Source organism: Homo sapiens, chromosome 3 (assembly GCF_000001405.40).
Source record: "Homo sapiens chromosome 3, GRCh38.p14 Primary Assembly".
NCBI classification, from domain to species: Eukaryota; Metazoa; Chordata; class Mammalia; order Primates; family Hominidae; genus Homo; species Homo sapiens.
The window spans coordinates 13,314,885-13,329,151 of record NC_000003.12 but is presented as its reverse complement, the minus strand read 5'-3'; the positions used below and the strand labels follow the sequence as shown (position 1 = coordinate 13,329,151).

Sequence of the window (14,267 nt, the reverse complement as noted above, 5' to 3'; positions counted from 1 at the left end):
GTGTTGGGAAGTAAGAACCTTGTCACTAGGTTGGGACACTCTGGGGAGTGTGGCCTTTACTCCTCTCAGGACCCCTAAGTCCAGCCCTGCATTGTTCCTGAGGTGGATCCTGCTGGGGGCAGGTGTCCCCTCCTTGGGAGGTGGGTTTTCCTGGAGGCCAGTCCCTGGCACTGAATCCTCATCATACCTGTATGTTGTCCCTTAGGTATCCCCTGTTTCCTACCTGAGGGTTTCCATGAGCCCTGTCCTGCACACCCAGAACAAGGAGGCCCTGGTGGCCGTGCCTTTGGGAATGACCGTGACCTTCACTGTCCACTTCCACGACAACTCTGGAGATGTCTTCCATGCTCACAGTTCGGTCCTCAACTTTGCCACTAACAGGTAGGATGTGGGCAAGGGTCATTTCTCCTATGAAGTCCTGTCTGGTACCTGGTAGAGACAACTGGGGATAACACAGAAAGTCTGCTGCTGTTGAAGGAAGATGTGTATTACTTCAGTTTCCAAGAGATGTGGGCATGCTGCACCATGCAGGGCCACGAGGAAACACCACTGCCCTTGGGGGATGTAGACCAGCTCAGAGGAAGACAGACAGGCATCAGCCCCCAAAGGAGGAAACAGGGCATGGGGCAGCTCCAGGGAGTGCTCCCCGAGGCACAGGAAATTGGCCCTTCAGCTTCGGCTGCCCACAGGTCCTGCCACAGTTGTGTTTCCCTGTTGCTGAATGCATTCAAAGACAGGTGTCAGGGGTGTTGCCTTATGGAAAGAACTGGGGTTTAGAGTCAGGCCTGGTTCTAGCCCCAGCTCTGCCCTTCGTGGGCCCTGTGAGTAGGTCACCATCCAAAAATCTGTTTCCACACCTCTCACGTTGGGCAATATGGCCTAGGTTCCAGGGCTTTCCTTCAGCTGAGGGAGTGGTCATGAGGACCGCTGGCAAACCATGGCACTCCGTGTGTGCGCACATAATTGCCATCCATCAGTTTAGGGCATGTCCTGGAGGAAATGGAGCCCAGTTCTCCCAGCCCTTTGGCTGCACTGCAGGTCATTCTGGCCTTCTTGTAGCAGGAGCACCTGATAGAGACCTAGTCAGCACTCAGGGTCAGAAGGTGTGGTGGAGGCAAGGATGCAGCCATGATCCCTAACCCAAACTGTCACCCCACGCAGTCCACACTTCTGCACCAAAGCTGCCATTGCCAACATTGACTGAGCACCTGCCCTGTGGCAGGTGCCTCCCCACTGCTGACCTCATGTAATGCTTATGCCAGGCCTGCGTCACGGTCACGTGATGATCCCCATTTTTCAGAGGAGGAAAGGGGCAGAGGCTGCTTCTGCAGTCAGGTTGCATAGTAAGGGCAGCCTTCCCTTTCTGGCATGTCCAGTTCCCTGGTGGGAAGAGCGTGAGGAAGCACTCTGGATCTCTTTCCCCTCGGGGCCTCAGCTTCCTTTCTGAAATGCAGGAATGATGCTGCTGCCACTGTTTGGCTGCGAGCTGCATGTGCTTTCTGGCATGACAAGTGAGGAGGTCGAGCCTGTGCCACCTGCCTGCAGTGGTCCCTCATCTGGGGCCACTGCTTGGTAACCTCGAGTTGGGGCCACACCTGGGACCTCAGTCAGTTGAATGCTTTGCTCAGCAGAGGACATGGATTACGTTTCTCCCTTTGGGAGTTGGAAGCTTCTTTCCCGAGACTGAGAGCCCTCCTTTCTCTCCTGTGCCTAGAGACGACTTTGTGCAGATCGGGAAGGGCCCCACCAACAACACCTGCGTTGTCCGCACAGTCAGCGTGGGCCTGACACTGCTCCGTGTGTGGGACGCAGAGCACCCGGGCCTCTCGGACTTCATGCCCCTGCCTGTCCTACAGGCCATCTCCCCAGAGCTGTCTGGGGCCATGGTGGTGGGGGACGTGCTCTGTCTGGCCACTGTTCTGACCAGCCTGGAAGGTAAGATAGATCCTGAGCAAGGGAACCTGTGGAGTCACGGACGCTTGCAAAGCTGGGTGGGGGCTACCTGGGCAGGGGCTCGGCACCAGTCACGGGGGCCTACAGGCAGACCTGCAGGATACTCAGGAGCAGTGCTCCAAAACTGCTGCCCGGAGACCAGATCCAGCCTGTGCCTGTTTTCTGCAAGTAAATTTTTGTTGGCACTCAGCTGTGCCATGCATTATGTATGGTCAGTGGCTGTTGTCACCCTACCACTGCCAGATTGTGTGGTCATAGCAGAGATTGTATGGGCTGCATAGCCCAAATGCTTATGTCCGACCTTCACAGAAAGCATTTGCCAGCCCTTTTCTGGAACAGCTCTGCCAAGTCGGTGGGGGGGTCCCCTGCCCCTGTGGGGCATCCTGTCTCTGCATAGTCTCACTCAGTTCCTCTAGCCAGGAGACACACGGATCTCTGCTGCTGCTGAGGAACTGAATTCACCATTTTAGTGAATTCTGTGGGAAGTGGCCGCCATAGTGGACAGCACAGGCTGGGAGACTTAAGCAAAGAAGGACACTGGGCTAAATCAGGGGCTTCCAAATTTCAGCCATGCCCAGGTGACCTGTAGTACATCTGTGGAACACGTGTACAATTATTTACTTAGCTTTTATTTTCAAATTGTCTCCACCTTTTTTTTTAACCTTACTAAATTCATTTTAAAAGGAGATGAAATACTACCTTTAAGGAAAAACAAATATAATTTGCCATAAATAGATTATGGTTGAGTCCTTTAATTGTACTTATTATATAATGTGATTGGCTTTTAACTCAGATGTGTATGTGGTGAAAGCTCTGAGCCTCACACCTGCTGTCTGTTGCTAAAAAGGAATTGATAAGGCAACGAAGGGATGGGGAGGGGCTGTGCTTTGGGGAAGGAGCTACAGAGGGCAGGGCCTGGCAGCAGCACCAGACCATTCCTGGGCAGGAGTCAGCTAAAGCTTCATGCCAGGATGGTCAGGAGATTCCAGGCAGGGAGTTGTGGGTCAGGGAGAGCAGGTGCTAGGGGCCACAGCCCTGTAGAGGGCGGGTGCAGCAGGGTAGGAGAGCTGATGGCTCCAGGTGGCTGGAGTCAGGAGCATGACCGGCACTGGGGCAGGCAGCGTGGCTGTCTCCTGAGGCTGCTGAGTGAGCCCCCATGGGGGTAGCGGCAGCCAGCGAGGAAGCTGGCCTGTCATCCAGGTGAGCTGGGCTTTGACTGGAGTGTCCAGCTATGGAAAGGGGGCTGACACCTGTGCTTCCTCTCCAGGCCTCTCAGGAACCTGGAGCTCCTCGGCCAACAGCATCCTCCACATCGACCCCAAGACGGGTGTGGCTGTGGCCCGGGCCGTGGGATCCGTGACGGTTTACTATGAGGTCGCTGGGCACCTGAGGACCTACAAGGAGGTGGGCTCTAAGCAGCCGGAGGCACATGTGGCTCAGTGGCCTGTGAGGCGGGCCTGACCTTCTGGGAGGATTATGAAGACTTTTCCTTTTAGGGAAAAGCCGTCTGAGGGGTTGGGTCTGGGAGTCATGAGTCTGGGACTGGCCACTTGCTGACTCTGACATGGGGACAAGCTCCCTTTTTTTTCCAGGCTTCAGTCTCCCCATGTTCAAGAGGGTGTGATGAGGACAGGCAGCCTTGTAGGGTGGATTCCAGCTCCCATGGGCTTGGGTCTGGCAACCCCGGAGTGGGCACTTCCTGGGAGCCGGTGCTTCCCTGTCACCTGCAAGGCTAAGACTCCCTGTGCAAGTCACCCTTTGAGTCTGGAGGCGACAAAACCTGCTGTCTCTTCCATTCATCTCCAGTTGAGAATGAATCAGTGGGGCAAGTCTGGCTGAGATCCAAATGCATCTCATTTTTAGAGGCAGCATGTGCTTTATGGAACCTAGCAGTTTAACCTAATTGTTTGCATATTTAGTGCTGCGGCTCTGCAGTTTGGGCGAGCCAGTTGCAGACAGAGGCATCCTGTGACAATACAGCTGTGCTCTCCTGGAAAGAGCCTCTGGTCAGGGGATGGGGTGGCATGGACAAAGGTGTGTAGGGTTCAAGGGCAGAGCCTCGGGGGCTGGAACAGAGGGTGTGGGAGAAGCATGGTCTGGCTTTGTGATCAGATCAGAAAATGCACCAGATTCCAGGCAGTTTGGTGCAGGTTGAGGGTGGGGCATCTACAGCTAGACGGTCTAGGTCAAATCCCAGCTTGGCCACTGCGAGGCTATGACTGAGCAATCATTGAGTCTCGCTATGTCCCGATTTTCTTGCCTGTATAATGGGGATGATAGCGTTGTGAGGATTTAGTGAGTTAGCACGTCAGAAGCCCCTAGGGTGGTGCTCAGCTCATAGCCAGTGCTCAGCAGAAATTAGCTGCTGCTGCTGCTGCTGTTCCAGGGTGAAGGGGTAGAAGCTTATGCCACACTCAGTGGAGTTTTTTAAACAGTGCTATAGACCAAGGCTGTGTTTGCAGAGGTTACCTGGCACCTGGAGGAGCTCGAGAGAGCAGTCGCTACAGGGTAACTGGCCAGAGACTGAGGCCAGGCCCTCAGCTGGGATCACTGGGTGTGGCAGAATCTAAAGGCAGGTTTGGGAGAGACGGGAGGGAGGGAGGCACATCAGAGCTCCATGAGCATCCAGAAGTGAGGCTGGAGGGGAGGAAGGGCTTGGGATGACCAGGCTGCTACTGGTCCTTTGCTGAGAGGGGCACACAGAGGTAGGTAGGCCTGCAGGGAGGTGAGGAGCCTGGGCCGGGGAGCTAGAGATGTCACAGCTCTCCCAGGTGAGGCAGGAGGCACACCTGGGTGGGTGCGGCAGGAGCACTGTGAGGAAGGCTGGACAGGGTGGGGGCCTCAGCCCAGAAGTGGCCTCTGAAGCCCTGGGAGTGGGTGGGAGTGCACGGGCACTCCAGGAGTGCAGGCAGGAGAGGGGCCAGGAAGCCTTGGGCACTCTCTGAGGGTGGACAGGGAGGAAGGGGAGAGGAGGGCCAGCGTTGGGGGGTCCCAGGCTAGAGAGTGGGACACAGCCTCTGTCAGTCCCTGGAGGTGGATGGTGGTAAGCCCTGAGCGGAGGCACCGTGAGTTTGACAGTGATGCCTGGTCACCTACAGCTCTGCATGGGCCACATCCCTGGGAGCTGCAGGGGCTTCAATCGCATCCCTGCTCTGAAGTTCACCTACTGGTAGAAATCAGATCTCCTGGAGGCAGGGAGCGCTGGTGCCTGCTGAGAGAGGGAGGGGGGCCTTCAGCTGCAGGAAGTGGCCTTGGGCCTGAAGGGTGGATGAGGCTGGGCTCTGCAGAGAAGATGGGAGGGTGTCCTAGCCAAGGGAGTGCAGGGAGGTCTCCAGCCTGGGGCTGTTTGGGTGTGGCCAGGTACAGGATGGGCACAGGGGGAACAGCTGGGAAAATCTGGGCAGACTGGATTCTGGGTGGGGTGTGGTGCTGTACTACAGAGAAGTGATCATGGCTGTCCGAACAGCCAAAATCCTCAGCCCACCCAGATCGATTAATGAATTCAGGCCCGCTGCTCAGCGTCCAGTCAGCTGCTGGGGGAAGCAGCTTGTTCAATGGGAGAACTGGGCTGTGAAGTCTGACCAGACTGGGCTCAAACCCCCTCTCTGCCACATTCTAGCAAGGCGTTTAGGCTTTGAGCCTCAGTGTTGCCACCTGTGAAACGGGTGACACTATGTCACAGACTGCAGGGTGAGGTTGTGGAAACGCCCAGCATGGACCGGGACACAGGCGGCGCTCCATGAAGCTTCCTTGGCTCCCTCTCTAGGTGGTGGTCAGCGTCCCTCAGAGGATCATGGCCCGTCACCTCCACCCCATCCAGACCAGCTTCCAGGAGGCTACAGCCTCCAAAGTGATTGTTGCCGTGGGAGACAGAAGCTCTAACCTGAGAGGTACTTAATGAGGGGCTTGGGCTGTCTTCAGAGTACCTGGGAGCGGGGAGGTGGCTTCCTGTGTCCTCTGGATGGAGTTTATCTGCTTCTCCTATTCACACTCACACCAACTCCAGAGAGGGCATTTAGCCCCCACTCATCCACTCCTTCCAGCGTTTCTGAAATTGGAGTCCTCCAAAAGCTGAGCCAGTGAAAGGAATCTTCATAATGGAGCCCAGCTCCCAGAAGGTGCCTGTTCTGCACTGGAAATGTGACTTCAGCCCGAGGGCACCCTAGCAAAGAAAGCCACAATTTCCCACCGTGAATCCCAGAAACTAATGAATTAGCAGGACTCGTCACTGGTTTTAATTTTTGTAATGACCTCTCCCAGGTCATGCATAGAATGTTGAACCCCATCCCCTGCCCATGACAGCCCTGAACAGCAGCTGCCAGAAATAAGTAAGTCAACAGGGCTGTTTTCTTAAACCACCTCACTGGCAGAGTGAAGCACCGCCCTTCTCGTCCTGATTAACGAGGCAGCTCTGTTCCATCATGGCAGCCTCTGCTCCTTCCTCAGCGCAAGTGGACAGCACTGTGCCGTTGCCTAAATGCTGCTCAGATGTTAGTGGAGAACTAGTGCCCTCTGAATGTGCAGAAGTAAATTGCCGTTTCCCCTGCTGACAGGGACAGAAGACAGGCATTAGTGGGCCTAGCCCGTCTGCCGTGCCCCTGGATGCAAGGTCTGGAACAAATGCTGAAATTCTGACTTGAAGCTCCCTGTGATGCCGATGGCATCCTCTTCCATATGATATGTCCTTGGCTTTACCAATCCTGGCTGCATCTCAAAGCTTTGAGCCGCCCTGGGGCCCTGCTGGAAGACATGCAGGGGCAGGTGGCATTTGCAGCCCAGCCAGCCTGTGCAGGCCTGGTGGAATTTGGTGTGGTGGCCATCGGGCCTGGCCCACACCCTCTCGTCTCTCCCCTCTCTAGGCGAGTGCACCCCCACCCAGAGGGAAGTCATCCAGGCCTTGCACCCAGAGACCCTCATCAGCTGCCAGTCCCAGTTCAAGCCGGCCGTCTTTGATTTCCCATCTCAAGATGTGTTCACCGTGGAGCCACAGTTTGACACTGCTCTCGGTAATTGCGAGGATTTGAAAGTGAAAGGGACTTGGAGACAGTCTCTGTCTTCTGGGCATCTTGCGGCTTCCACGTGCCCAGCTCACCATGGCCGTCTGTCCAGAGGGCAGAGATTGTCAGGAGCCCAGCCTGGGGATTGACGCCAGGGGGACTTGGGAGGACTGCTGGTCACAGAGGGTATCCTAGCTTGGCCAAGGCCTTTATAGGGGATTCCCAGGAGGACTCCTGGAGGAGGTGACTTCTCACCTGGGCTTTGGAGGATGCATAGGAATCCCCTGGTTAGAGAAGCAGGGAGAAGAAATGACATCAGTGCACGGGCAGGAGAGGGGACAAGACAATACACCCTTGTCTTCGCAGGCCAGTACTTCTGCTCAATCACAATGCACAGGCTGACGGACAAGCAGCGGAAGCACCTGAGCATGAAGAAGACAGCTCTGGTGGTCAGTGCCTCCCTCTCCAGCAGCCACTTCTCCACAGAGCAGGTGGGGGCCGAGGTGCCCTTCAGCCCAGGTCTCTTCGCCGACCAGGCTGAAATCCTTTTGAGCAACCACTACACCAGTTCCGAGATCAGGGTCTTTGGTGCCCCGGAGGTTCTGGAGAACTTGGAGGTGAGTGGCATCTGCATGCCTCAGGCCAGGCCGGAGTCAGGGGCATCAGGAAGGCCCTGGAGGAAGAGGGAATGTGGTGTGGATGTCCTGGGCCAGCTCTCTTTAAAATTTATTTTTACAATTAGAATTTTTAAATTGAAGTACTCTTTTCTTTTTCCATAGCACTGTTGCTGTCTCTCAGGCTGCGTGATTGTATTAATTGTTCTGACCGCTGCTGGTCTTCCCCAGCTACAAGTTAAGCTTGTGGGGGCAGCAGTGAGAACCCCAGAAAAGGTGCCAGTGAGCGTGTGGTGCGTGGCATCGCAGAATTCAGTGCAGGAGCATCTGCCACAGAGCAGGGAGGAAAGCCCTAATCCCTGCTGGGACAAGTCCCCTCTCTCCAGGCCTCACTTCCCCCATGACTAAGTCACGGGGTGGGATTGGTGGGTGAATGATCCCTCAGGCCCAGAGCCTGGCAGGCTGGGAAGAGTTCGGGGGTGAGAGAACCAAGGAGTTCCTCGGCATTTCCGCCTGCTCCTCCTGCCTTGCTGCAGCCAGCGTGATCGCATGTTCTGCAGAGGCAGGGAATGCTCAGCATCGCTGATGAGGGAGGAGGGCCAGCCCGCTGGCGGCGTGAGCAGAGCTCGGGCTGCTACCTTGGAGAGCTGGTGCTTGGTGATACTTCATGTTGGTTTAGCCTTTTTTTTTTTTTTTGAGATGGAGTCTTGCTCTGTCGCCCAGGCTGGAGTGCAGTGGCGCAATCTGGGCTCACTGCAAGTTCTACCTCCCAGGTTCATGCCATTCTCCTACCTCAGCCTCCCAAGTAGCTGGGACTATAGGTGCCTGCCACCACACCTGGCTAATTTTTTTTTAGTAGAGACGGGGTTTCACCATGTTAGCCAGGATGGTCTCGATCTCCTGACCTTGTGATCTGCCCACTTTGGCCTCCCAAAGTTTTTTTTTTTTTTTTTTTGAGACGGAGTCTCGCTCTGTCGCCCAGGTTGGAGTGCAGTGGCACTATCTTGGCTCACTGCAATCTCCACCTCCCGGGTTCATGCCATTCTCCCACCCTTGCCTCCTGAGTAGCTGGGACTACAGGCGCCTGCCACCACATCCGGCTAATTTTTTGTTTTTTTAATAGAGACAGGGTCTCACCGTGTTAGCCAGGCTGGTCTCGATCTCCTGACCTCATGATCTGCCCGCCTCAGCCTCCCAAAGTGTTGAGATTACAGGCGTGAGCAACCGCGCCCAGCCTGGTTTAGCCTTTTTGTAAGCAGCAGTTGATTAGAATTAAATGAGCTTGAATTTGATTCTGACATTCATATTGATTTGTCCTTCCCTCAAAAAACACCCTGAGTATGGACAGGGCTTCCCGACTCTGCAGAGTACACGCCGTCCATGAGCAGTGCCCAGGTGTCATTACCTGCCCATGAGATGTGACCTGGGCAGGGGTCCCCACCTGTACCCTTGGGCCCCAGGAGGGAAGCCCAGCATGTCAGGCTGAAGCGGGGGTGCTTCCAGAGATGGCCATGCAGAGCAGCCCTCCCGCCTCGGGGTCCTGAGGCCCCGCTCAGTGGTCCCCCCACTCTGCAGAATGTGCACCCCCAGCTCTGATGTCTCTTCCAGGTGAAATCCGGGTCCCCGGCCGTGCTGGCATTCGCAAAGGAGAAGTCTTTTGGGTGGCCCAGCTTCATCACATACACGGTCGGCGTCTTGGACCCCGCGGCTGGCAGCCAAGGGCCTCTGTCCACTACCCTGACCTTCTCCAGCCCCGTGACCAACCAAGCCATTGCCATCCCAGTGACAGTGGCTTTTGTGGTGGATCGCCGTGGGCCCGGTCCTTGTGAGTCACGGAACGACATCATCTGGGACAGACCAGGATGGGGAGGGACAGGCAGGAGTGGTCCTGGCTATCAGTAGAAACCTGAGGTGTAAGAAATGGAGGAGTCAGAAATGCAGAATGTCCCTCAAAGTGATCGCTGCTCATTGGGGCCATGATGCAGGCTTTAGTTGCCCAGCTTTCCCATCTGTTCTCAACATGGCAGCCACAGGGGCTGTGCCCCTCTGCTCAGCAGCCTGCGCCAGGAGAAGAAGTGCCAGGGTACCAAGAACAGCTGTGGGCCCGGGCCTCCAGCAGGTGGCCTGGCCCTCTGAGACCACCATCCTTACATCTAAGAGGGACCTGTGGACTGCCCTGTAGACGTACAGTAGGGCAGGAACGTGATGGGATGCCACAGTGGGCCTGGTGGTTTTGGTAACTCATCTTCCCATTGATGGCAGATGGAGCCAGCCTCTTCCAGCACTTCCTGGATTCCTACCAGGTCATGTTCTTCACGCTCTTCGCCCTGTTGGCTGGGACAGCGGTCATGATCATAGGTGAGGAGGCTGCCTGTATCTCTGGGTCTGTTCCCCTGCCCCGACCTGCTCTAACCAACCCTGTGCTCTTGCAGCCTACCACACTGTCTGCACGCCCCGGGATCTTGCTGTGCCTGCAGCCCTCACGCCTCGAGCCAGCCCTGGACACAGCCCCCACTGTGAGTAGCCCCCCTGCAGGCACAACCAGGCAGAGCTGCTGAGAAAGAGAAGAGCCCTGGGGGAGGGGTCGAGGCTCCTGAACCCTAAGTCTCAACAGGCCCTTGCCTGGGCCAAAGGAGCCTGAGGCCCAGAGGACAGATGTGGGAGCCAGGAGGGTCGGGGCAGAGGGGCTGCCAGTCCTGGTTCAGCAAGAGCTTTCCCCAGGTAGAGCCATGCTGGGTGGAGGTATGGGCAGCAAGGAGCTCTGTCTAGGCAGGAGTGCATGCTAGGACTGGATGCCCAATTGCTGAGGCTGCCTCAGAAGGCTCTAAGCTGGGGTTGGACGAGCTGACTCACAGATGGGGATTCTGGGTAGTTCTGATGAGAAATTTCCCAGAAGAATGGGCAAAGTCATTTATTTCAATGGTCTAACTGTCTCTCTGGTGACCCCGAAGCCCTGGTGACCCTGCACAGCTCCAGGGAGCACCTCACTGTGTGAATGTAGTTTCTCTCTCAAACAATGCAGTGCCCAGCCTGTACTGCTGTACGTGAAGGCCCTTTAATGTCTCCTGATTCCCATTTGAGGGTTCTCTCCCCTACACAAAGAGTCCTCGAGCTCGTGTCTGCTGACATGGGGGCCCATGGACCGGCTTCAGGGGGGTCCCTGAATTTTTTTGAAAGAAGACCCAGTTGTGTGGGTAGAAGCACTTTCCTGGGTAAGGAGAGCCCACACGCCCTTGTCTTCTGCCTGACGACTTCTCTACCTGCAAAGCGGCACCCAGGGGAGGCCACGGGTGCTCGGCCTCCTCGCGGCTCTGCTGCCTTCTGCAGCTGCTCTGGCAGCAGGTGCCTGCCCTTTCTAGCTGCCTCTCTCAGCGTGCTCCTCCCTGGGTTTTGGGAGCCACACCTGGATCTCTGCAAGGTCTCCGGAGCACTGCAGAATCGCTGCTCCCCTCGGGGTCTTTGTTCCTGTGGCGCTCTTGCCCGAGGCTGCATTGCATTCAGATGCACGGGGCCTCCCTGCCTCATGCCCCCTGGACAGATGCTGCTGTGGTCCTGAAACTTGAGACACGTTCTCCCCGGAAGGCTCTGCGCTCCTGGGTGTTAGGGTGGCATCCCAGGCCTCTCTGTGTGAATGAGGCCAGCTCAGCAGGTGCCCGTGGACTTCCCTCTGCTGGCCGGGGAGGCCTCGGGGCATCACTGTGAGAGTGTCCTGGGTGAGGCAGGCGCCTGCTGAATGCTGGCTGTAACTGAAGAGTGCGCCGCTTTCCCTGGCTCTGCTGCTAACATCGTCTCTCTTCCCACCCTAGATTTCGCTGCCTCATCACCCACATCTCCCAATGCATTGCCTCCTGCTCGCAAAGCCAGCCCTCCCTCAGGGCTGTGGAGCCCAGCCTATGCCTCCCACTAGGCCGCGTGAAGGTTCCCGGAGGATGGGTCTCAGCCGAGCCTCGTGCACCCCCAAGATGGAACATCCCTGCTGCATTCACACTGGAACAAGCCCCTCCAGATGAGTGCCCCGGCCCCAGGCCAGCTTCACTGCCGTCTCTTCACACAGAGCTGTAGTTTCGGCTCTGCCCATTAGCTCATTTTATGTAGGAGTTTTAAATGTGTGTTTTTTTCCTTTCAAGTCTTACAAAGCTAAGACTTTTTGGCTCATTCCTTTTTGCATGGTTGTCTAGGGTTTCTGGACAATGTGCTGTTGCATTTTTATTTTCCTAGCCTTGCTAAAATCTTTCCCTTCTCAAGACTTTGAGCAGTTAGAAGTGCTCTTTAGAAGTTGTCTGTGGGTGATGTTACTGTAGTGGTCTCAGGGAAAGGATTGTCCAGTTACTTTAGGGGGTTTTTGGTGGGGTTTTTCCCCCTGTGAAAACTTACTTTGCCCCTAGTCTGGCTGCTGCTAGGACTTCTGAGGAGCAATGGGACATGAGTGTCCCTGTATCTGCGCCACTGCCGCAAGGGAAGCCTCAGGAACCAGCACCTGGAGGCCAGGATAGCCAAGCCCTGGGTGAGCGAGAGGCTGGAGAACACAGGAGCTCACCCAGGGCTGCTGCCCAACCATGGGCCACTGTGAACAGACTTCAGTCCTCTGTTTTTGTTTCATAAGCCGTTGAGACATCTGATGGACTTGGCTTAGGCCCTGCTGGGACATCCCACGTGTGATCCCTTTCACTCCATCAGGACACCAGGACTGTCCTTAGGAAAATGTCCTTGAGATGGCAGCAGGAGTCATATTTTCTGTGTGTGTGTTTCGGAAAGCCGCTGTGTCCTGCCTCAGCACAAAGACCCAGTGTCATTTGCTCCTCCTGTTCCTGTGCCACTCCAGAACCTCAGCAGATCTGAGCCACCGCCTGCCAGTGTGAGAGGCGGCCACTTTCATGGCAGCTCATCAGGCGCAGGGCCCCAGACAGCTTCCCAGCAGGCCCTAGAGCCCGGCCTGGGCCAATGATGGAGGGCGGCCGCCAGCCCAGGGCCTGCCCATCCAGAAGGGACTCCCCAGGGCCTGGGGGAGGAGACCCTTGGAAAAGTCCTCTCTTCCCAGCTCCTGATTCTGGATCTGAGATTCTCAGATCACAGGCCCCTGTGCTCCAGGCCGAGGCTGGGCTACCCTCAGGGAGATCCAGAGACTCATGCCCATGGCCATCCATGCGTGGACGCTGTGTGGAGAGTCCAGGATGACGGGATCCCGCACAAGCTCCCTTCAGTCCTTCAGGGCTGGGCCATGTGGTTGATTTTTCTAAAGCTGGAGAAAGGAAGAATTGTGCCTTGCATATTACTTGAGCTTAAACTGACAACCTGGATGTAAATAGGAGCCTTTCTACTGGTTTATTTAATAAAGTTCTATGTGATTTTTTAAGAGGGTGTGATCGTTGCTGAGATTTCTGTCTGATGGTGATGATTTCTTCCCTTTACCCATCTATGATACTCTGGGGCCTGGCAGAGCTGGAGGTCTGAGCTTTATTCTCCCCAAAGGGTGAGCATCATTTTCAAGCACATTCAGGTTGGCAAATGCAAGTGCATCTGGACGCAGCCAGATCTTGCCAGCAAGTGAGTGTGCCCAAGAAGGCACATTGACAAAACCAGGTGATGCCACACAGTTCAGCTTTCTGCTCCCAAGCTAACCAAGCAACTCTCTGTCTCTAATGGTTGCCAGAAAAGGCTTTTAGCACCATTTAGCACTAAAAATATAGTACATCATATAGATTGTTTTTTCTCTAGAATTCTTAAGTCTGGCCAAAAGTGAACTCTCGTTCTCTGTTTCTCTGTGTGTCTTTGTGCATGCTTACATGTGCATTCCTGCATCCTGGAAATGTTTTTTTGTTTTGTTTTGTTTTGTTTTTGTTTTTCGTTTGTTTTTGAGATGGAGTCTCGCTCTGTCACCCAGGCTGGAGTGCAGTGGCGTGATCTCAGCTCACTGCAAGCTCCGCCTCCCAGGTTCACACCATTCTCCTGCCTCAGCCTCCTGAGTAGCTGGGACTACAGGCGCCCGCCACCACGCCCGGATAATTTTTTGTATTTTTAGTAGAAACAGTGTTTCACCATGTTAGCCAGGATGGTCTCGATCTCCTGAGCTCGTGATCCGCCCACCTCGGCCTCCCAAAGTGCTGGGATTACAGGCGTGAGCCACGGTGCCCGGCCGCATCCTGGAAATGTTACATCACAAAGTCTGCGAACACTCAGTAGCAGGGAGCACTGAACCTGGGGTGTCAGGGGTGGGTAGCACAGGTCTAGGCTGGTGAGAGCTTAGCAATCAGGTGACCAGGAGTCTAGGTCCACTTTGTTCTGGGGCTGGAGAGAAATTTATCTCTCTGGGCCACAGTAGTTTCCTCACCTGCAAAAGGGCCCTCCTGACATGTGTCCTACCCACCACCTGCCCAGAGTGGCTCCCAGCAGGAAGCAGGTGCTTCCTGAGGGTCTGTCCCCAGACCCTCAGCCTCCCTCTGTGCACGCCCTCTCCCACATGCCTTTGCAGTTCCTTCTGCCCATTGAGGCTAGGTGTGGTCATGTGACTTGCTTTGGTTGGCATGGGTGAGAAGGACCATGGGTCTGTGCTGGGCATCCCTCACCCTCCTCATGCCCCTGCCATTGATGTAGTAATCAGGAAGCCCAGGTAGCTGCAGGTCCAAGCAGGAGGAAGGACACCTGCAAGGGACCTGCCAATCCCGGATCACCTGGCCTGCAGCCCACGGCTATGAAAAGAGTGATG

The 14,267-nt window shown here is 55.6% G+C and overlaps 1 protein-coding gene across 4 annotated transcripts in view, besides 3 other annotated features; it reads left to right on the top strand.

The window, feature by feature from the left end:
* Positions 1 to 12,917, top strand: part of NUP210 (nucleoporin 210) — a 104,088-nt gene extending 91,171 nt beyond the window's left edge. For all 4 annotated transcript variants that reach the window (NM_024923.4, XM_047447797.1, XM_047447795.1 and 1 more), the window contains 10 exons: positions 206 to 381; positions 1,715 to 1,935; positions 3,221 to 3,357; positions 5,720 to 5,843; positions 6,813 to 6,959; positions 7,317 to 7,567; positions 9,173 to 9,389; positions 9,827 to 9,922; positions 9,997 to 10,080; positions 11,371 to 12,917. In NM_024923.4, the coding sequence (NP_079199.2) occupies positions 206 to 381; positions 1,715 to 1,935; positions 3,221 to 3,357; positions 5,720 to 5,843; positions 6,813 to 6,959; positions 7,317 to 7,567; positions 9,173 to 9,389; positions 9,827 to 9,922; positions 9,997 to 10,080; positions 11,371 to 11,471 (1,554 nt within the window). In that variant the 3' untranslated portion in view covers positions 11,472 to 12,917. The remainder of the gene's footprint in view (positions 1 to 205; positions 382 to 1,714; positions 1,936 to 3,220; positions 3,358 to 5,719; positions 5,844 to 6,812; positions 6,960 to 7,316; positions 7,568 to 9,172; positions 9,390 to 9,826; positions 9,923 to 9,996; positions 10,081 to 11,370) is intronic.
* Positions 1,286 to 1,785: an enhancer, noted in NCBI's record as "H3K4me1 hESC enhancer chr3:13368867-13369366 (GRCh37/hg19 assembly coordinates)". NCBI's record gives its function as "activates a minimal SCP1, AML or CMV promoter by ChIP-STARR-seq in primed H9 embryonic stem cells {active_cell/tissue: H9 hESC(primed)}" and the evidence as "EXISTENCE:reporter gene assay evidence [ECO:0000049][PMID:30033119]".
* Positions 1,786 to 2,287: an enhancer, noted in NCBI's record as "H3K4me1 hESC enhancer chr3:13368365-13368866 (GRCh37/hg19 assembly coordinates)". NCBI's record gives its function as "activates a minimal SCP1, AML or CMV promoter by ChIP-STARR-seq in primed H9 embryonic stem cells {active_cell/tissue: H9 hESC(primed)}" and the evidence as "EXISTENCE:reporter gene assay evidence [ECO:0000049][PMID:30033119]".
* Positions 6,526 to 6,725: a silencer, noted in NCBI's record as "fragment chr3:13363927-13364126 (GRCh37/hg19 assembly coordinates)". NCBI's record gives its function as "represses an EF-1alpha promoter that drives an FKBP-Casp9 reporter gene in an ReSE screen in K562 erythroleukemia cells {active_cell/tissue: K562}" and the evidence as "EXISTENCE:reporter gene assay evidence [ECO:0000049][PMID:32094911]".
* Positions 12,918 to 14,267: the final 1,350 nt, after the last annotated feature.